The sequence below is a fragment of the Homo sapiens genome, chromosome 5 (genome assembly GCF_000001405.40).
Source record: "Homo sapiens chromosome 5, GRCh38.p14 Primary Assembly".
Lineage (NCBI taxonomy): Eukaryota > Metazoa > Chordata > Mammalia > Primates > Hominidae > Homo > Homo sapiens.
Window position 1 is genome coordinate 102,895,031 of NC_000005.10, and position 23,256 is coordinate 102,918,286.

At 35.2% G+C, this 23,256-nt stretch overlaps 1 protein-coding gene across 58 annotated transcripts in view; it reads left to right on the forward strand.

Annotated features, from left to right (window-relative positions):
* Positions 1–23,256, forward strand: part of PAM (peptidylglycine alpha-amidating monooxygenase) — a 276,323-nt gene that overhangs the window by 140,248 nt on the left and 112,819 nt on the right. For 52 of the 58 annotated variants that reach the window (XM_024446066.2, NM_001319943.1, XM_024446069.2 and 49 more), the window contains 2 exons: positions 6,326–6,383; positions 18,904–18,991. In XM_024446066.2, the coding sequence (XP_024301834.1) occupies positions 6,326–6,383; positions 18,904–18,991 (146 nt within the window). Of the gene's footprint in view, positions 1–4,843; positions 4,973–6,325; positions 6,384–18,903; positions 18,992–23,256 lie in introns of those variants that run through there. The other 6 variants (NR_157231.1, NM_001364590.2, XM_047417248.1 and 3 more) reach the window with 4 other exon arrangements.

Genomic DNA, 23,256 nt, shown 5'->3' on the forward strand with positions numbered 1-23,256 from the left:
TGAAAAACAAAACAACCAAAATTCTTAAATGAACTACAGGCCCTGCATTGTGTGCCACATCTACATGCCCAGTCCAATTTAAAACATGTTCCTCTGTCTGTGTGTACTGGCTTTTGTTTTTTCTGTCACACCAAGTTCTGTCTAATTACACGGCCTTTGAAAATACTATTTCTTACGCTAAAACATTGCCAACCCCCCTTGACCTAGAGCATTTCCTCTGAATTATTAGCTTTTGTAGCAATCTATATTTCTTCTTTGTAGCACTTAAAACAGTAAAAATTTAACATTTATGTGTAATTATTTCTTTGCTAAACTAGTAGACTAAGTTTTATGAGGGCAGAGACTATGTATACTTTTGCTCACAGTTTTGTGAATGTAGAACAGTGTCTGGTTCCTGGGAATTACTCATATATGTTTGCTAAGTGAATGAATGGATGGGTAGAAGAATGGCTTTCTGTGCAGCCATTGAAAGAGATTTAAAGGTAGGCAAGTATTAATGAGATGACTATGGCAAGATATATTAGAATTAGAACAGGCCTGGGGGGAAAAAAACACAGAAATTGAGAAGACCACTTTGTTTTCTGATGGTTCATTATAAATGTCAAGAGAATAGAATGCAACTTTGGCAGTAAGATAGTGGACAGACCCATTCAAGTCTAGAGCTTCTCTCCTATGAAGCTGTATTGTCTCAGTATCAAATATAAGCCACTTAGCACAGAAATATGGTGTTTGGGGTAGTCATTGAGGAGCCTTTGCTGTTCTGAAGTGTCCACAAACAGATTTGATACATACAGTTAGTTTCTAATCATTTGTATTAAAGGAGAGGAACATCAGTGTGAATAAATGTTGGCACCAGGTTCAGAAGATTGACTGATTCCGTATTCAGGGGAACTTGATGAAAAGCATGAACCACTAGCTTAAAGTTGGGAAAGGTGAGTAATGGAGATCGTCAGCACTCCCTGTTCAGAATAGCACAGTTTCCTTCATGTAACTCCCGAGTCCCCATCACAGGGAAGCCAAGGAGGTTTCCACCGCTATCGCCACCCTGTTGTATGATAGGCAATTAATGATAGTAGATTATTAGTATGTTCCTTTTTGTTTACTCATAAGTGAAAGTATGTGAAAGCTCTAAGACAGCTGTTCCCTCACCAAAATATTTTTCCCTCATCGTTTGCTCATACAGATTTGTAATTCCCATAGAAGAGCGCTTGCCAGGAGAGTCACTTCCATTTGAACTACTTGGTGTTGAGATTCTTCTCATCATCAGCCACAGTGTGATTATAGTTTAAAAATGCAAATGGGATTCTGGGATGAATCAACTGAAGGATAAAATTCATATGAAAAAGTGATCTGTATAAAACCCTAATTAGGCAGCATCTATGATACAGCCTTTCTTAAACTGTGAGTTTATTGCCACCAAAAGAAGTAGATAAGTGCAAAATTCAACAACTATTTCTAGAGCTCCCAGTATGTGTCAGATATAATTCTAAATACCTAGAATGCTAGACAGACACTGTTACAAGATTACATTCTAGGTTGGGAAAAATGTTGATAGGGGATGGAACTAGTATAGTGGTAAGGACAAAAGCGAAGCATTTTGGAGAATCATTTGGGAACGTTTTAACATAAAATCTTCACTATGACTGTTTCTTCCACAGCCTAAGAAATATGGTAACATCTTTAAAAAATTAAATGGTAAGAAAAAGAAAACTGGGAAAGGGAAACAAGGATAGACTACATATAATAGTGATAGTTTAAGGAATTTTATCTGTTATTAAGTGTCTTAAATTCTGGCTTCAGAGAGATGGATTATTTAAACTTGAGTTTTTTTGCTTCAGAAAATCTTTTATGCTTTGGTATAATTTTCTTTTGCTCTAGCTTCCTTTTATACTAGGATGAGGTGGAGAGTACAAACACCACGGAGTTAGTGTGAGCCTCCTATGCATGCATTAAAAACACTTTGGGAGACAGCGATTTGATTCTTTTACATAGTTGGATCACATAAAATAAAACTTTGAAAAATAATTTTCCAATTATTTTCTTCCTCTCATAATCAAAATTCTGGCCAAAGAGGCTTGACCACTTTCCATACGTTTTCCTTGTTGGATGGGTAGAACTACCAACGCTCTTGAAATTTCCATTAGTTTTTCCCAAAATGCAGTTATTCAAACCCTAAATGAGTAATATGTGGAAACGTAGGACTTTAGGGTTCCTTACCAGTTTGTCTGGGTTGGATTTAAAATGTACACAATCAGGGGTTGGTATAGAGACTATTACCAACTTTCTGATTAGCTACTCTGAGGTACAAAGTCACAACTGCCACCACAAGATGTTTCCACTGGTTCTGGGTTTTGATTACTCCTATTGCATATATTTATGGTGTACATCATGCTGTTTTAATATTCATATACATGGTGAAATTATTACTATAGTTAAGCAAATTAATCTCTCCATCATCTTTCACAGTTATTTTTATTTTTATTGTTTGGTGTTTTGGTTATTTAATAAGTGATGACTTAGAAAAGTTACCAGAGACCATACTATACACAATATAATATTTCTATGACTTATGGCCTATTTACAGGGAACAACCAATTTACAAATAGCCAAAGAAATAAGCAAAAGGGCCATAACCAGATAAAACTGCATCATGTTATCTATTTGTACACCTCTTTGTGTCATCACATTGAATAGTCTTTAAGAAAGGTAGTCTGGGAGGATTCTGTACAATAAAAGGTTATTATTCAATCAGGATCAAATCATAGTATTCAACACTAGAATAGGAATGATATCTTTGGTTTCCCCAAACAAAAATTACTGGTTTTATGTGAACAGTTTTCATATGTAATAATATACAGAGATTTTGTTTGTCTCATAATAATTTAAATAAGCAGTTGATTTTATTAACGTCCTTTTCCATAGAAACCACTACATCTCTATTCGCAAACAACTAAATCAAAATAAAGAATGCTATGAGAGAACTAACTCTTGGTTAAAAATGGGGAGTAATAGGATATTATAGGAGTGTTATAGTAATAAAGCCTTTTTATTTCTAGCACACTATCTTCTTTTGTCAGAAAAATGTACTTTTCTTGGATAGTTCCCAGTAGCATCAGTAAAAAGGCATCAGCAATATCATATCCCTCTCGATTCAGATTCGGCTGATGTGCCAAAATAGATAGCACTGGGCACCATGGCTATGTAGATTCATATTATTTCTCCCTTTTTGTATATCTGAGCCTTATGTTAGCAGTTTGAATCTTTAGTATTTTACAGACAGTCCCCTGGCACCAAGCTCAGATACAGTGTTCTTTCCACAGAGAGAAAAAGAGGATTCATGATGATGATAAATGGAAAATTGTGAATGGTTGTGCTGGTAGTTTGGGTTGAATTATAGAAGCATCCTTACTAGGACAGTGTGTTCATAGGAAGACTATTATAATGGGCAATAAGGTGCTGTCTTTATCTCTTCAGAATGTGTTTCAGAGAAACATTGATCTGAGTTATGTATATATTTTCAAATAACTTTGCAGAAACAAAATAGTGACAAAATTAAATGGCTGTGGCTCTAATCTAGTTCATTGCAGTTAGTCACCAAGCTTTTATGAAATGTTCTCAGGTGCTATTGAAAATGTAGGGTACTTGGACTAAAACTTCCTGTTAAATTTTATGTTACTTTGATTCCCTTATTTCTCCCATTAATCAACTAAACAACTAAAATTGTGTCTAAGAACTGACAACATTTTTTTAGAGAGGTTTGAAAAATACCTTTTAACAGCTATCTTTCCATAGTAGAAGAGAAGTGCTTTAATAACCTGGTACAAATTTCATTTCACCAATTTCCAGATTGTTTTTTAACTGCAAACAAATTACTTACCATCTTCAGCTTCATTTTTCCATGCGTAAAATGGTGTCTGTAATACCTACCGAATAGTGTTATCATGGAAAATAACTATGATAGAAACTTCTAATTGTGTATGATACTTGTCTCCTGCAGAGGGTCTCCTTCCTCCCTTCCTTTCCCTCCCCTCCACTTCCCTCCCCTACCCTCCCTTTACCCCACCTCTCTCTTTCTTCAACTGGCTTTAACAACTTAGGAAAGAAATAGTGGAAATGGGAATGGATTATCATTATTAGACAAGTTGTAAGCCAAAAAATACAAATTGCTAGAAGAAAGACATTTTCAAATTATTCTCATTTTAAATTGGGTGGCTGATGGTAAAAAATAATAATTATAGTATGGATCTGATGAATTATAAGTATAAATAGCAGGTTCCTTTATTCTCTGTATTATATGTGACCATCATTGACTTAATTTTTTAAATCAAGAACCAACTTGCTGAATTTGATATATCTATGTATGCCTATAACTTCCCTATTCCAAAAACAATGAGATAACTTATAATAAAATCAAAGATAGAGTAAAATCGAAACCTGTTATTCCAAATTAAAAAGAAGTTCTGTTTCCTTTTCATCATAACCTTTTGATCCTTTTTCATTATAAATATATGCTTAGCTGCTTTAAATTTACTTTTGTTTTTATATTTGCTTTTAAGTCATTATTTGTCACATTGCTGGGAATGATCTTGAATATATTAGTATAATGCACAGAGTGCATATATTCAGATCCCAGCTCCTGCACTTTTTGGTGTCCAAGATAAATAAGCCAACACCACTTAAAGTGGTAAAATAGATTTTATTCAGTAGTTACTATTGCAGTAGGGAAGTGGGTCCAGTGTGAAGTGAACCTAACTTTGACAAAACAAAAGGGAGGAGACCTTTTAGAAGCTGGGGTGTGGTGAGGGAAAGGCACTGAAGGATGTGAAAGGGAGCTGGTCCATGTGGCTGGGCCATCTGGGTTTGTTATTTGGGAGGAGAAGCAAACTTATTGTATCTTTATGACAGGAGGCAGTGGTGTCGATTAGAACAAGGTGCCCACTGGACTGAGAGCTGTGCGGTTATCTCCCTGAATGTAAGAAGACATTTTTGGGTGGTAGAAGATTTACATCTCAAAGGAGCAGAGAAAGGATTTACAGTTGCAAGCTTTCTGAAGTAACTGCTCTAAGAGAGGGTTTATGCTTGTTACCAGGTTTTGGCTAGAACAAATAATAAAATCTCCTGGAAGCATCTCCTTGAAGGGTGATAGGATCACATGAGGGGTGCAGCTGTGACCTGTTAGAAACTGTGCTAATGTGTTTCTTCAGGTCTCTTAATGTGTGTGTGTGGGGGGGGGGCGGGGGGAAGAGGGTAGACAAAATCAGCACAAATCCTTATTAGCAAAATAAAGTTGAATCTATTATAAAGACTTCTAAGAAATGAAACAATGCTGAAATGAGAAGAAAATGGCATATATAAAAGTAGTAACTAAGAATAGATCACATCTCAGTAATTTTTCAAATTTTAAGATATTTGTTTGATGTGTACTTGAACCCCCTTGTTTTTTAACACACAAGTAGAAACATAGGTACAAAATTCACAATTTTTTGGTGCTAATTGTTAGGTTTAGAAATGCCAAATGATTTCTATCCATGTTAGTGGAATCTGATCATTCCAGCTCTGTGCAGTAATAATCCAGGAAGCATGAATTATTAAAAGAGTGCAGCCTGTATTTGTATTGGGCATATTATTAACAATAGCACATACTTTATTGTGTATGGATTTCCATTAAGGAAGTGGAGTACATTGAATCTCATTCTCCTTAAATTGTAATTTTTATCACTAAAATTTCTTGATGTTAATATATTTGATAGTGAAAAAATGACCATTTAGATGAGACCAATAACTAGAAAAGAAATAATAGCTTGAGTTAATGTTGATTTCTTCAATGTATTACATAAAAAAATTTAAAGTAAGGGAGGGCAACCAAAAATAATAAATTTTAAGACCAACTTTTATTCATTGTACTTCTCTAATATTTGAGGCATTTGTAAAGTGATTCAGGAAATTAAATATTTAATTTTGCAAATAGCAAAGATGGTCAAAACTAACTTCTACCATTTTAAAATCAAATGCATTAAATTGTTCTACTCTTTTTATAAAAGCATCTAAAAATTTGCCTTTTAACTTAGAGAGTATTAGAAATATCACTCATGATGATTGGCTTTATAAATAGGATCTAAAGTTGTTTAGGAAAGAGTCTTAGACAAACTTTTAGGGTATCTAAGTTCTGGACTTAGCCTTTCCATTAACCTGCCACTCAGCCCTCAGAAGGAAAACTACCCTCACTGACTACTTTTTACAGTCATAGAAGCCACGTTTTAATAGTTATTATTTCTTCCTTACTAGCAACAGTTTAATTTGGATTTTTTAATCTTTTTTTTAATAGTCCGATACATACTTCTGCATGTCTATGCGAATACCAGTGGATGAGGAAGCCTTCGTGAGTAAGTATTAATTGGATTGGGGGAGTAGCAGTTTAATGGAGGGCAGTGATTTGAAATCAGTGAAAGGTTCTCTTTGAGGGTTATGAGCATATTAATCTTTTACTGTCAGTTTCTAAAATGCATTTATCATGCCTAATGCAGAAACAAACTAGAGAGAGCCACTGAGAGGCAAGATTATAAACTGTATCTGGAGAGATTCATGAGTAATAGTAATTAAGGAGTTGCATGCAGATGTTGATGGCCGCCAATACTGTGTGGTCCCATTTGTATAGTATTGGCTTTCTGTCTGTGGCAGGATGCTTAATTCCACTCCACTCAACAGACAGTTTATTTACCTGCTGGTTCATGCTATAAATCGACTGCACTTAGAATCAACATTGGTGAATGTAAGATTTTACCTGTCAGACAGGTAGATGGATAGAAAGGAAGGGAAGGAGAGAGGGAGGAAGGGATGAGAAGGGAAAGGAGAGCCAGAAAAGAAAAGAAATGGAAGAAAGAACATTTATGTTGTTGTTTGTATTATAGAATAAGAGAACGCTTAAATGACAGATTCTTCCCCAACTGAGCCTTTAAATCAGAGAGGAAAAGTGACAAAGCACCATCTGTTTCCTTCTAGGTTGTTTCCATTTAAACATCCCTTATGACAGACATTTAACTGTTTAGGGAAGAGCTGTGATTGGCAAATTATTCATGTATTTGGCTTTTCTCTGCTTCATTTTAAAACATTTGAGATGTTGATTTTGGAGAGAAAGTGTTGGTAGTAGTACTTTGGTCCCTTGAAACTAATCTTCAAGTGGGCTGTCTGAACTGGCTATTATGTGAATTGTGAAATGTGTACAGTAGCCTTGGGGCAGTCTGAGGATGAATTTTTATGAGGTGTTTCCCACAGGAATGGACATTATAGACCTGCAAAGCCAGAGCAATGTGCATTTTTTATTCACACACATTGGTGGCAATTACAACAGCAAATACAACCTTTAATAACACTCTCAACAAAATTTGCTGCATAGTTAATTCCTAAGAATGAAAGACCATACAAAGTTAAACATTGATGATGTTGTTTTGTATAATATTTGGACATTACCAAGAAAAAGTTAGGAAGCCAAGTTCTTCTATATCCTGAACTATCTTTAAAGACAAAAATAATTTAAGTTTCTAATTGTAGTGCTTTGAGTAACACTAAATATTATTTAGAACATACATTCATAATTAAAATCCTAGCCATAAAGCTTTCCTTAATTTCATATTAACACACTTGGCCACCTAAGAGAAAATAATATTTACTCGCAAAAGGAATTTCCCATGAATTTTTTTTTCCTAATTTATATTTTCTATGTCCAAGTTCAGGGGTTGTTTTGAGTCCTGTTTTCACACCAGCTATGAAGAGAAGGCCACCCTACACACCTGTGTAAATATGGTAGTCATGTGTTACAGCAGTATTACACATCTCACATTAATAGGTTTGTTTCTGGAGATTGGTGGTAGTATATGATTTTAGAACCAGTGACTGTAAGGACTATAAATATATATCCTGTGTGTTATTGCTCTCCTACTATAAATGTGTTTACGTTCACATAATTTAAAATGAAAAAATACAAGTGAGTATATTCAGTCAAGTAAAATATTCACAGGAAACACATAAAGGTCTATATTAGAACCAGAGTGCTAAATGTTTTCATACTTTCTTAGGCACTTTTCTTCTAAGATTAAACTATTCCAAGTTATAAGGTCCTTAAAAGGTCTTGTAAGATTAATAACTATTTTCAGTATTTCTTCCTTTGTTTATTACTTGGAGGATTGCATGGATACTGAAATTTTTTGTTCCCTATTCACAATGGGTTGTTTCATCTTCTGTGTGAGTCCTTTAATGAACTATGCCCAGGTGGTTTGTGGTTACTGTTGTTTACATAATTCAGCAACCAAAGAAGTTTAAGTATAGACAAATTAGAACTGGAAAATGGAAAACTAGAGACAATTAGCAAATAATCATTTATATAAAAGAATAAGTAAAGGAAATTTTGCATGCGTTATCTCGTTAATTCTTAGGACGATCCTGTATAGATAGTCTCATTTCATAGCTTGAGAAACAGAGACAGAAACATCTATATCTGTGACTTAATGAGGAGCTAAGACAATAGTTTGTATGGAATTCTCATTTATGTAACGGCTGGACCGTTACCATCATCTCTACCTGCCATTGTTCACTAAGAGCCTGCCAGACACTGTAAGATACTGAAAGCTAAACATAACCTAAGCCAATTTTCAGAAGAGGAAACAGAAAGTCAGAGAGGTTAAGGAATCTGCCCAAGCTTTTTACTAGCTATGTATTAACCTAGTCGTACTTCAGATTTTGGTGTGGGGATAGTGATACAAAGGGAGAAATGAGCAAAGTTATCAAGTGCATAGGTGGAGCTGAAATATAGCAAGAGCAGCACCGTTCTTTCTTCCTCACATCAAATACAATTATTCTTTCATTCCTTTACCTTCACTCCCTACTGGATACACTCTGGCCAGTTTTGCCAAAGGAAAAATAAACCTCAAACCATCTTAACAAAACAAATAACAAATACCCATGAAGATTTAAAGATTTGTAGAAGGAAAGGGGCTTGGATAGTTATATGTTGGGAGAGTGACCATACATAGCTTTTCCAGACTCCCAAAGTGAAAGTTTTGCCTATAGGGTAGCCTATGCTTTTTCCATTCTAAGGGATTCTGATGGCATAGAGAATGAAGCTATAGCCTTTTTGTGGATTGTCCCAAATTCCAGATCTCAGGATGCCTTATCCTGAGATTAGACATGGTTGCAAATGAAGAGCTGTAAAAACCCATAATACTTTGTTCGTTCTTTTCTGTTTTTAATTATTTTTATTTCTCATAGTCATTCTGTTTGTTTATTCTTTCCTTAAGACACTTAATGATTTTATACCTTCTGTTTTCATTATCTGTGCCTCTTTAAATTTTTGTATTCCAGCAGGATAGGCACCGACTCAATAATTGCTTGCTGAATGCGCGAGTGAATACTAAATAAGGATTTTGGCCGTTTTCTGACTCAGCATTTCAAACAGTAGATAATTTACCTTTCTACCTTGAATTATATTCTAATCTAAGGAATCATTGTTTTGCTTGTGTTTATGAAAAGCCATTGTGCATGAATTCAGCAAACTTAAAATTCTGCTACATATAAGTTATTGGGTAATAGGGATGTGAAGTATGATGCCTGTTTAAGGAAGTCACAGGCTAGCAGAATTCTAGACAAGAATAAAAGTGTTAAAACATATAAAAAGGACTTTCTCCTTGAACTTTTCAAATTTCTGAAGAAAATTACAAAAGACAATACAATTTACATTATTAATACTAGGACAGACTCTCTTGATGGCATTAAAAGTCAAAATTCGATTTGAATAACTCACTATTTTGGCTTTATGTTTATATGCTAGTTATATAACCCATCTTAAACATACTTCTAAATTTTGAGCAAATACCATCACAGTCATTATGGAACTCATATGTGTATATGCCTGTTATATTTACATATGAGCATATAGCATGTGTGATGTGTCTATATATCTGTATTTAATTATTGAATGTGAATTACAGTAGGTGTTTGAAGAACTGCAATGATGAAGATAAAAATATGTTTTATATTTTGAACAAAATTATAGCTTTCCCTAGGGCATTGTGTGTTTTTTTTGTTGTTTTAATAAGAAACCATAGAATTTGAATGGGTGAAAGTATAATAATATCTGCATTTGACCACTGAACTGTGGTGCTGTCTAAAAGGTGTTTTACAGACACTCAGCGGAATTGGCTCTGACAGCAGCCCACTCAGCCAAGAAATTTGACTGTCATCTTCATCCACTTGCTTTCCCTCACATGGATGACCTGTAAATAATTGTGTCTTTTCCTTAGTGAATGATGACAGGTCCCTATCTATCAAATTGCACTACATAAATGAGATAGAAGCCATTGAATTTAGAAACAGATGAAATTAATCTAATGATTCATTGTTTTTCATTTTCTTGGGCTTCTCTCTTGAATGTAGAACAGTTTCTTTTGCAGAATTGCACAGTTAGATTTGAATAGTTCAAAATATGACCTTTCTTAAAGCACATGATCAAGTGATGTCCAGATACTTTGAGAACTGCATGAACAATTCAATTTTGATCATGCTTATGGGTCACTAGATAGTACGACATAAAGACCGAGGTCTGGGCAGGGTACATTGCTCGTATATCCATGTTTTATGGCTTTGGCAGCAGTAAGTAGAGGAGAGTATCTGTGTATGTATGCATATGTGTGTGTACATGTGTGTGAGTCCTCATCCCCATGCAATCATTCTGTTACCTTTCTGCTTCCAATGAGTTGTCTAAGTATCCTTTCTCTTCTGTCTTCAACTAGGACTTCTTTCAAACATAAATAATGAGTAGTCTCTGTCTCACAGATGATGACTGAGTATTTCCCACCAATCACCCTGGAAAACACTTAGTTTCTTAGTGAAAGCTACTTGGAAAGAGCTATGATGAAAAACAGAAATAAGACATATATAGTAGAGGTTTTGATGAGTGGATACAGCCCATTTTTCTTGGTCATAATCATGAAGGAGAAGTTGTTGCTATATACCTTGTCTCAGAGTCTCAGAGTTTCTTAAACGTCTTCTATCCTTTGGTCACCCAAGTACGCATGTTTCCAAATTGACAACGTCCAACATCTCCTCAGCTTTTCTCAAGTAATAAAAAACAGTGAGAGATGAATAGGAGCCATTTCTAATGTCTTCAATTAGGTACATCTAATGATCACCAAAAATTAATTGACATGTTGATATAGCTATTTTAATGGAGAAATGTTAAAATCCTTCATTCCCCCAACCTACCACCTCCTCCCAGCTAGCTATTTCAGCAGGAACTACTTTAGTAGTCAACTCTTAAAAGATCACTATGAGTTGGTCTAGTCAGAGAAAACTTCATGATAAAGGTATGCAAAATTTCATCTGGACCTCTGAAGATGACCTATTTGAATATGCAAAGGGGTGAATATTTTAGTGGCCCACAGTATGAGCCCAAACACACTGGGCACAAGTATGAGAGACAGTATCATATAGTGGTTAAAAGAGCAAGCTCTGAGCCAGAACACTCCACATTCAGATCCCAGCCTCACCACTTTCTAGCTATACTACTAGGGGACAAATTACTTCACTTCTCTTTCCTGAAGGCTCATCTATTTGGGAGGACAAAGAACCAGACTCATAGGGTCATTGAGAAGTAAATGAGTGCCTGGCACATGGAAAGCCCTCAGTAAATGTTAGTAGTTGTGATTATTAAGTGAGGGAGTTGCCTAATGAGAATGAGGAGTGGATGTAAAGATTGCCATATTGGAAATGTAGTGAGCTAGAGGACTGGCACAATGTTACGCATAGCCCTAAAAGGCTAAGGGTATGGGCTTGATTCTGTAGGAAATTAATAGTGGACTATTATAGGAATGACATTACAAAAACAGGGCTTAGTAAAGCTTATGCTGTTTTATCTTGCATAGCTTGGCTGATGAAGTCTATTGATTCTTTGATATATATCATAATTTTAAAAGAGATATCATCTAGAAATTTAGTTTTTGTGTTGTGTGTTGAAATTTCTTTATTCAGAGGTGAGGATTGTTTTATTTGAAATTGATGTTCAATATATAGGTTTGCTCAGGTGTCTTATTTCTTAGTTAATTTGGTGGCAGCAGCTTGAAGTCCTCATAAACCACCATAAGCATTCTTTACCAATGGTACATCATTGTCCATACTAGCAGGAATTAATGACAATTTCACTATTAAGCTTTCTTTCTGATTAAAAATGTTCCAGGAATGATGATTTCCAATTTCATCCATGTCCCTACAAAGGACATGAACTCATCCTTTTTTATGGCTGCATAGTATTCCATGGTGTATATGTGCCACATTTTCTTAATCCAGTCTATCATTGTTGGACATTTGGGTTGGTTCCAAGTCTTTGCTATTGTGAATAGTGCCGCAATAAACATACGTGTGCTTGTGTCTTTATAGCAGCATGATTTATAGTCCTTTGGGTATATACCCAGTAATGGGATGGCTGGGTCAAATGGTATTTCTAGTTCTAGATCCCTGAGGAATTGCCACACTGACTTCCACAATGGTTGAACTAGTTTACAGTCCCACCAACAGTGTAAAAGTGTTCCTATTTCTCCACATCCTCTCCAGCACCTGTTGTTTCCTGACTTTTTAATGATTGCCATTCTAACTGGTGTGAGATAGTATCTCATTGTGGTTTTGATTTGCATTTCTCTGATGGCCAGTGATGATGAGCATTTTTTCATGTGCTTTTTGGCTGCATAAATGTCTTCTTTTGAGAAGTGTCTGTTCATGTCCTTTGCCCATTTTTTGATGGGGTTGTTTGTTTTTGTCTTGTAAATTTGTTGGAGTTCATTGTAGATTCTGGATATTAGCCCTTTGTCAGATGAGTAGGTTGCAAAAATTTTCTCCCATTTTGTAGGTTGCCTGTTCACTCTGATGGTAGTTTCTTTTGCTGTGCAGAAGCTCTTTAGTTTAATTAGATCCCATTTGTCAATTTTGTCTTTTGTTGCCATTGCTTTTGGTGTTTTGGACATGAAGTCCTTGCCCATGCCTATGTCCTGAATGATATTGCCTAGGTTTTCTTCTAGGGTTTTTATGGTTTTAGGTCTAACATGTAAGTCTTTAATCCATCTTGAATTGATTTTTGTATAAGGTGTAAGGAAGGGATCCATTTTCAGCTTTCTACATATGGCTAGCCAGTTTCCCCAGCACCATTTATTAAATAGGGAGTCCTTTCCCCATTGCTTGTTTTTCTCAGGTTTGTCAAAGATCAGATAGTTGTAGATATGCGGCGTTATTTCTGAGGGCTCTGTTCTGTTCCATTGATCTATATCTCTGTTTTGGTACCAGTACCATGCTGTTTTGGTTGCTGTAGCCTTGTAGTATAGTTTGAAGTCAGGTAGTGTGATGCCTCCAGCTTTGTTCTTTTGGCTTAGGATTGACTTGGCGATGCAGGCTCTTTTTTGGTTCCATATGAACCACCGCATATTCTCATTCATAGGTGGGAATTGAACAATGAGATCACATGGACACAGGAAGGGGAACATCACACTCTCAGGACTGTTGTGGGGTGTGGGGAGGGGGGAGGGATAGCATTGGGAGATATACCTAATGCTAAATGACGAGTTAGTGGGTGCAGCGCACCAGCATGGCACATGTATACATATGTAACTAACCTGCACAATCTGCATATGTACCCTAAAACTTAAAGTATAATAATAAAAGAAAAAAAAATAATAAATAAATAAATAGTCTTTGCCCTGGAAAAAAAAAATGTTCCAGGAAAAGGTCTTTGTTTTAGTACAGAATTGCTTCATGGTTATGGGGAAAGCTTGCAGGAGATAATGTAATATGCCATTGTGGTGGGTTTTTAGCATGCTGGAAAATAGACTATGATGCTGTGAGCTTTACATTTCTCTGTACCTTTTTGGCTCAACTGCAAGATTATGAACATTAAGGTTGATTGATCCTAAACTTAAATTGCAATTTAGAGCATTACTATCTTTACTTTGAGCAGTTTTTGAAGCATAATCATTATTTTTTTGGAAATAAAGAAATGTTGATAGTAAGATTTTAGGGTTTGTAATTTTTTTTATTCATGACATACCTTTTATATTATATTTTCTTGAACCTCACACCTTCCCAATTCTCTCAATATTAAATATGGCTTGAAAATACAAACAGTCTTAGAATACTGACTCTTTATCATAGATAGGAACACAATCACTAGAGGCTTCCTATGCCTGCCTCAGATCTCAGCACTAAAACGATTTTAGGTGATACAGCTAAACTCACATGATATAATACAGAGTTCCTTCCAGTGGTCTCCTTGAATAAAATAATTCTAAAATATCAACTAATTTTTATCTTTAGAAATTCTTTATGAATTTATTTTAAAAGAAACCTGCTTTTGCTCTTTGTCCTGTACATTTAAAGGAGCATTACAATCCCAATTTAACTAAGATGAGTTGGTTAAACTCAAACTATGCTCACATAATAGAGTATATTCAGTCACTATAAATGGGGACTATAGTCAGAATTACTGGTAATTCGCCCGTGAAACCTTTAAAAGATATACTTACCTGGGAATAACCGCTGGAGATTTGACCAAGATGTTGATGGGGGAGGCGAGAAGGGACTCATCTAGATTGACTCTAGGCACTTGTATTTTTACCAAGTTCCATAGGTAATAATTTAAAGTCCAGGCTAAAAATGGCTGCTTAAGAAAATTGTTTAATAACATGTAAAAATACCCATGATATGCAAGCTAAGCTATTTACAGTGTATAACACGATTACATTGGGAGGAAAAAAGAAAGTTAACAATAGTTATCCCTAATACATACAAGCAACAATTCTAGAATGCCAAAGTTCTTCAGATCCAAACTTGCAAGTCGGTGCTTTTTTATTCAATAGGTCAATTATCTATGCTCTGTAGTATTCCTCTACAGAATATTTTTTGGCTAAAAATAATTGTTCCTGCCATTTCCAATGGTAATTTAGAGCTGGTTATATATACATGAATATCTCCAAAATTGCTGGTTTCTCTACTTGGTTATGTGTGTTCTTCAGAATCTTTCTATGTCCTAAGTCTGGCAGAAGAATCAAAATTTGACGTGCAGACTTGGATATCCACTTAGAAGGGAAAAATGGAGAACTAAATGACATTCTCCCCCAGGTCACGTTCTTAGAGAATTTTGTGGCCCTGATTATAGTCTGATGTTAGCTTAAAAAGCCCATAAATCCCAAACACCCCATGCAATGAGGAGAAATTTTGCTTAGAACTCCAGGATTTAGACCTAGACATCTCTCTTTTCAACATGTCATCCACACATATGGTTTCAGGTCTTTTATTTCAGACGACATTATCCTTTGAGAAACCCTCCAACCTCTGTGCTTTCAGTGTCATCAGATTTCCTTTAATTACTGTGTGTGAGTCACTTTTTTGGAGTCTTAGTCCTTCAAAGGTATTTCATTCCCAGGACTTACTCACCTATAAAATGTTCGCTGATCTCATACATCAGGCAATCTGAACTGTTAGCTCCCATTGAGACCGAAGTACCATTTCCACTTAAGCAACTGTCATCTTAATATTGAGTTAGAAGAGTCAGTGGCACTTTTAATCTTACCGGATATAATATTCCTTTGCATTCTCTTGAGGCTGTGTTTTGCACTGTTTGTCACCATCCCAAGGCTGTCTTTGTTTATTCTGCCTGTCAGAATCGCACACTGAAATGCAGTTGTTTCCATTATTATCCTCTAGCTCTCTTCCCCTTGGATCCTTTATTTCTTTGGTGTATGATGGGTGAAAAAGAAAAGAGACATTTCTTTTTAAGATGTTATTCTAAAGTATTTTTCCATATTCTGTATTGTGTTGTGTTGACATCTCCTGCATAGTCTTATGTGTGTCTTGTGCCCAGCACACCTAGAATTCACTAGGGGTGGGGTCTTATTTTGCAAAGCCAGGCATAATCAGCAGGAATGGAGCAAACCCCTGAAATGAACCTGTCAGACCAATCTTTTCCCAGCCTGCCGCTCCTCACTACTGGCAGCAGCCCTTCAGTGAAATTGTCCAAGTGCTGCTTTATTTTAAGGCATCTACTGTTTGTTTTAGATTTACATTTTGATTTGACATTCCTTTTGCTGGAGGTAGTTTTCATTTCAACTTGCAATGAATTGTACTTTGAGCTATAATTATATAAATATTTAGATATTATACTTTTTCTTTAGGATATGAAAAAAGATGGTTAGTTGCTTGTTTTTGCTGTGTACTTCTAATATACTTAGCATTTAAATTAGATCTGGAGTTTCTGGAGAAATATGTGAGTCAGTGAGAATCTGTTTTTGTGAAAGGAAACTCTGAAGAATTTTCTTTTTCTACCACTTAAAGACAGTTGTTTCTCATTTTAGAAGCAAAAATTAAACACATACCTAGTTAGAGTTCAAAGTAGAGCAAATAAATAAGTGGTACTTAAAATGTATGTCAGGAAAAAATGTATGTCAGAAGGAGAAAAAATCAGAAAATAGTTAGAGAATTTATACTTTGATTAATTAAGATTTGCCCAGTTTACTTTACAAAGGACAGTTAGAAGAGTCTCTTACATAAGCAAGGGCCCAGGCAAACTATTTTCTTTCTTTCCTAATGAAAAGCTACAGAGATTATATGTTGTTGTCTTTATGATCTATTCCCTTACCAACAGCTGTCTTCCTTGCCCTTACCTGAATCTTTTGCTTATTAATATTTCATTTTTAAAAATTACTAATAGCTCCTTCTTTTTCCAGAAATGTCTTTGCCTTGTTTAACAGCAGCATATACATTGCATTAGTATAAAAAAGATACTGTTGGTGTCTCCTAAACATACCCTGACAGCCCTGGGCTTTTTCCAAAACTCTGTCTTGAGCCTTCTCTATGATTCCTATTACCCTTTCTGGTACTTTCATCCATCCTCGCAGCTTCAGGGTTCAATTTTTGAATGTTTCCCAAATATGTAATTCTCTGACCTCTTTCTAGGACAAGAGTCACAGAATTCTGACTCTCTGCTGGATACTTCCACCTGAATTTTTAGCGGGTGCTTGAAACATTGTTTTGCATCCAACCATTTAATTCTTGGAATAAACTGCACTTGGCCATGTTGGCATATTACCAAAATTCCAAGAATGATTCAGTCATAGGAAATTTATCCACCCATAATAAGATCTTCTGAGGGGAGGAAGTCATGTAATCATCTACATAGGTTCTGAAAAAGCAGAGGGGTCAGATAACCTCTCATGCATTGGCAGAGGGAATATTTTTTTAAAAACGTGGGAGGGGGAGGAGGATGATACAATTAGACAACAGTTATAGATGTTCATAAAGTAGTATAAACAGTTTAATAAAAATGAATATAAGATTAAAAATCGTATCACATACCAAAATAAAATCAAGGTGAATAAAAGACCAGTACTCCTACCTCAGGACTTTTTCCATTTTCTTTCTGCCCCAGGAAAGATCCCTGGTAGGATTCTGGAAGGGAGGAAGGAAATCCTGCACTCAACCTGGCAGTGGTCTATAGATATAGAATCCTTCTTCTTTCTTCTGTTTCTCTTGCTAACAAACTTCGGCTTCATGATGATAAGGACTTTCTATGAATTGTGAACGGCTGTAACTCCCAAGTGATTCTTTCCTTCCAAAGCATCTTCTTCCATCCCTTGTGCTTACTATATTCTTTGGTAATAGAAAACCAAGCCTCAAGTTATAGCAAGTCCATTTTCTGGCCATTCTCTCTTCATTAATATTTTAAATGATGACATGAAAACTTCAAGATTTGATTTTTAGGCTTCAAGTTCTTACTTTCATTGCAGTAAAAGAAAGGTTTGTCTCTTCTGAAAGTTATAAGCCAAGATGGCACACAGTAGGTTTGGCACATAGTGCTATGTTTTTGGTCAGACACACTGTGAGTCATGGTGCTATAGTTTGGTGTAGAACATTTTTTTGTTTTATAAGTACTCATGTCTCACATACACATTTTAGCAATAAGTGATGTTTTCTTAATTTTATCAAACAGACCAAAATAGCTGAAAGATGCATTTTTGCACACACCTGAGATTTAAGATCATTTTGGGGCTATTTAGCATTTTATGTGCAAAGGTGACTCGTAAACAGCTACTTCATACTGGACAGCATTTTGATGAGAACGCAAAAGGATGAGCCAAACCCACACTAGGAAAGGGAGTTCATAGATAATAATATATTTTTAATTTTTTCTCTTTTAATTATGCACTTGTTTATTTTAATGTCTTTCAACAACTATTATTAGGAGAAAACGAGAAATGTCATTCCATAACTTCTAATATCTTTTAACAAGTATACCATGCTTATTGAGGACAGTAATTTTATGTCTTTCGTATTTTTGTAAAGATACATTTTCCACTTTTATTTTTCTTTCCTGGTAAATTGCTTCTTCATATACATCCCAGTGACTATCGTACTGTTGTTATTCTAAGATGGTCATAAATTTGTGTTATGAATTTTTGTGTTCATATTTTGACCACTCACTGTGGCTTCTTTTTCACTACAATGTTGAGCAGTGTTTTATGATACTCAGCACTGTACTGATGTCTAAAAGGAAATATACTGTGAATACATAGCCTGCAGATTTCATTTAATACCCATATAATGCCCTCACCACTTTAAAAGAGGTCTTCCATTTTAAAAATGTGTGTGTGTGTATGTGGGTGTGATATTCAGCCTTATTTTTCCTTTTTACTCTTAATCAAATTATCAAGTCATGCTTATCCTTAACAAGATAATTTATACAGACAGGGCATTTGATCACAAGAACATCAAAACATCTTTGTTATACAGGTATTTGAACTGTTCAAAGATGTATTTTATGACTTTGGTGCACAGAAGTGTAACTTGTATTCACATACATGTATTATTTTCTCGTAACAGTTGACTTCAAGCCTCGAGCCAGCATGGATACTGTCCATCACATGTTACTTTTTGGATGCAATATGCCTTCATCCACTGGAAGTTACTGGTAAGGATAATGGGTTTACAGTATAGAAGGGTGTAGAAAATGTGTTTTACAAGTGCAAAGTGTATCTGTGCAAGTATTTTACAACTAGTTAATAAATAGGCAGAACATTTTAAGAAAAAGAACATTGTTCATTGTCATCACGTGGTTATCATGGTTTATCACAGTTATTTAGTCTGCTATAGAGCATATCTATCAGCCTTTGTCACTGACTTAATAAATATATGTCTCATGGACATAAAGATGGAAACAGTAGAAACCAGGACCCCAAAAGGGGCTGGGAGAGAAGGGAGCAAGAGTTGAAAAACTACCAGTTGGATACTATGTTAACTATTTGAGTGATGGGTTCAATAGATGCCCAAACTCCAGCATCACACAATATACCATGTAACATGTTCCCCTGGAATCTAAAATAAAACAGATTCAATATATGTATATTGTTATACAGTATATGTCCAGGTGCAGAAGGTTTGTAAAGAAAGTCTGAAAATATAGATTATTGATACTCTGATATTAATTTTTTAAGGTTCATTATTCTACCCGAAGAGCATCATGGTTCTGTTTATTGAGCACTCTTTCTCCAGACACTGTGACTGGTGATGTAGGCTTGCCATTTCATTTTATCCTAATGTCTCTGCAAAGCAAATATTGTTATTTCCACTTTACAGACAAGAAGCCTGAAGCTCAAAGTGATTCAGTAAGTTGTTTACGGTAGTAACAAAACTGGTGCAAGATAAAGATTGAACCCTAGCTTGTCTGATTCCAAACCCACAGTTATTTTCATTTTACCACACTGCCTTCTATTTATTCAAGTAATTATTAATTCAATTAGATATTATTAGAAAGTATTTGAATCACTATGGTGAGTCTTAATATCATGCCATAAACAATCAGTAAACCTCTATTAAATGCCTGTCATATGCCAGAGCTGTAGCAGATGCTTGGGAGGTTCTAGGAAAAATAAGATGTTTTCTACCCCCATAAGTTTACAGCATAATTATGGTTTGAGATTGTCCCTCTCATTTTGTTCTTTGGCATTCTTGAAGATCACTGAACTCTGAAAATAGCCACACTTTTTAAGCTTCTTATTTTCACGTAGACCCAGAATCACTGTCACACATTTAATAGTCCGAAATGACTGGTGTGCTTTGCTTTGCACTGAGGAATCTGTTTTGAGGTCCTGTCCTTACATAATCATGTAGACTGATGGACCTTTCTCTGTGCATCCTAACATTCATTAGCCTGATGTGAGTCAAGCAGCAACTGCTCTCTTGTCGTTTTTGTAATAAACAATATAATGTGTATTTGGAACTGTTAAAAACACAGGGCAATTAGTGGAAATCTCCATGGACCAAGTACCGTCAAAGCATTTGTTAATAGGCTTAAGTTATTTGATGAAAGGAACATATCACATAGGAACCCAACCTATGTGACTGGGTTTATGTAAAAACAGAGTCAGCAAATCACAGTAAATACCCTTCAATATCAACATTCCCGTTTATACTCTTCAGTAAATTTTTGTAAATAAAATTCTGGGATTAAAAGATTATTCTGTGACAGCTTTTCCTGAATCTTATTCAGTAAATCACATCCTTTGGTTTTTATGCTTTAAAACAATTTCTTCTGAAATTACCAATATTTACCTTTGAATTGGACTCATTGAAAATAGCTAGAAGGAATGTAAGCTTTTAAAGTCTGCTTTTGCTGCACCTTGGTTTAAGGGAATGAGTGAGAAAATAACACAACACTTAAATGCTATTCCAGTTCTAATTGTTAGGAAAAATTATCTAAAATGAGCCAAGCTCATTGTTCTCATGTTAAGGGAATAAAACAAAAACCTCATTTTGGCCCCTTTAAAATATTTATTAGTATTCTTAAATAAACTATTCTGAAATTAAATCTATAAGATATATTGACCAAAAATCTTCCACATTGGGGAATAAGAAGTTTCAAAGAAAAATATAAATGAAAGTGAAAACAGAAATTTTGAGTAGAGTAATTGCTAAGTATATTATTTTGCTAAAATTATTACTTGAAAGTCAACATAGTAGAAGGAAAGAGCAGTGAACTAACTTGCTGGATTCCCTGGGTAGGTTATTTAGCCCATCTGAGATGGAGTTCTTGTCTTCATTTTTGCAAAAGACTTATACTAGGCCATTTTTAAAGCCTCTCTATGCTCTAAAATTCCATAATTCTATGAATATAAATTGCATCCAAATGCTGAGTCTGATTGGAAAAGCATTATTTCTAGGAGCTGGAAGTGTGTGTACTGCTTGACTCACCTCAAGCAAGCAGCTCACTGTGTTTTGCCAGTCAGTTGCATCATTGAGTAATTACAATTCTTAATAACACTATACCCATATCATTTTAAATGGATTTTAAAATATTTGCCTTGTATCCCATAGCCCCACTTAATTTGTAGACTTGTTATGATTGAATTTATAATCATAAAACAAGGACAATTGGTGCTGTTATTCATCATCTTTTAACCAAGCCCAACACGTTTAAGTCTAACATTTAAAAGTAGGATCTTTTCAATATGTGAACTAGAAGACATACATTAAGTAAAACTGTTCTAATGATTCTGACTTCCACAATCAGGCCTTTTTATATATATATATATATATTCCTTTATATATATATAAAGATTATAATACATATTTATATGTATATTTGTATATAATATATGATATATATTATATATCATATATTTATTTTATATTCTTTTTTTTTTGACTGAGTCTCACTCAGTCACCCAGGTTCTAGTGCAGTGGTGCGATCTCAGCTCACTGCAACCTCCACCTCCTGGGTTCAAGCAATTCTCCTGCCTCAGCCTCCTCAGTAGTTGGGACTACAGGCGCGTGCCACCATGCCCAACTAATTTTTGTATTTTTAGTAGAGATGGGGTTTTGCCATGTTGGCCAGGCTGGTCTCGAGCCCCCTGACCTCAAGTGATTCACCCACCTTGGCCTCCCAAAGTGCTGGGATTATAGGTATGAGCCACCACACCCAGCCACAGGCCTTATATTCTTATTTAAATATGGTATACATTATTTATCTTCCAATATTTGGCAAAATCTATACTTTAAAGAATTAGAGCTCACAGGATATTTCACAGCCAGAACTTTCAGTTGCTTCACAGAAACATCTTTCACTCCCCACCCCCAGTGCCTCACAGGCTCAGCCCTGAAGATAGTCAGTGGATATTTTCCAGCTGTTTAACATCTTATCCTGTCATCTGAATTATAGTACTCACAACAAAAATCTATCAGTGTCAAACGTCTTGCATTATTTTTCTAAAATTTTTTGAGTCATGGAATTGATCACACTCATTTTATAGTTGCAAATCTATTCTTCAATTATTCTAAGACATAGACAGCACTTAAATGAAGACTCCTAAACTTTCACATATATTTTGGGGATGATACCTATAACAGTTTTGATGCTTAAAAATAACCAGAAGTCATTCACACTCTAGGGAAACTTATAAGGAAATACAAAGCTGTTTTAAGGAAAGAAGAAAAAGCTATTTTAACATCAAAATGTCAAACTTGGATTTCCTCTTTTCTGTTTGTTAGCTAGGATTTCCTCCTGTTTACACTTCAGTGTTCCATTTTCATTGCGAGCAGGTTGGCAAATAGGTGTCTTTAATATAGAAAACATGTTTCCCCTGAAATTATGAAGTTATAATTCATCTTCTATCTTCAGGAAGCATTTTTAATATTAACGCAAATAGCTATTCTGATGATGTTTCACTGTTGTGCTGCCCTCCTTTGCTCTTTGTAATTGCCTCTTTCTACTGTTCATTAAAATATATTTACAGTTATATTAAGTTTATATAAAAATAGTAGACACAGCATGAAGCAGTTTTCATTATATAGTGATTTTAATTTTAAAGTTTTTTTCCTCTGCACACATTCTAGCCTTTTGTGACTCATTCCAAATTAGCAGCTCACATTGGCAATGTGTCTAGTTAATTATATGCATGTGCATTTAAATTGCATACGTTGATTTGAACCTTTTAATATACTGTAGGGTGGTCCCTTTATAGTTAGAGTGGGCCTAGTGCTCAATTCCAAATTAACATACCTCTAGAGGTTGCAAATAAGGACCAGCTGATGGAAAAGAAGCAGCTCTGCTGACCCATGTAAAGAAAGTGACAGTACCTGTCAGATGTAACCCCAATGCCTTCTTCCCAGGCGTTTGGAGGAGGAAAACAATTAACCCTATCTAGGGACCAAAAGAAAATAATAGCACCAAGATTAGAG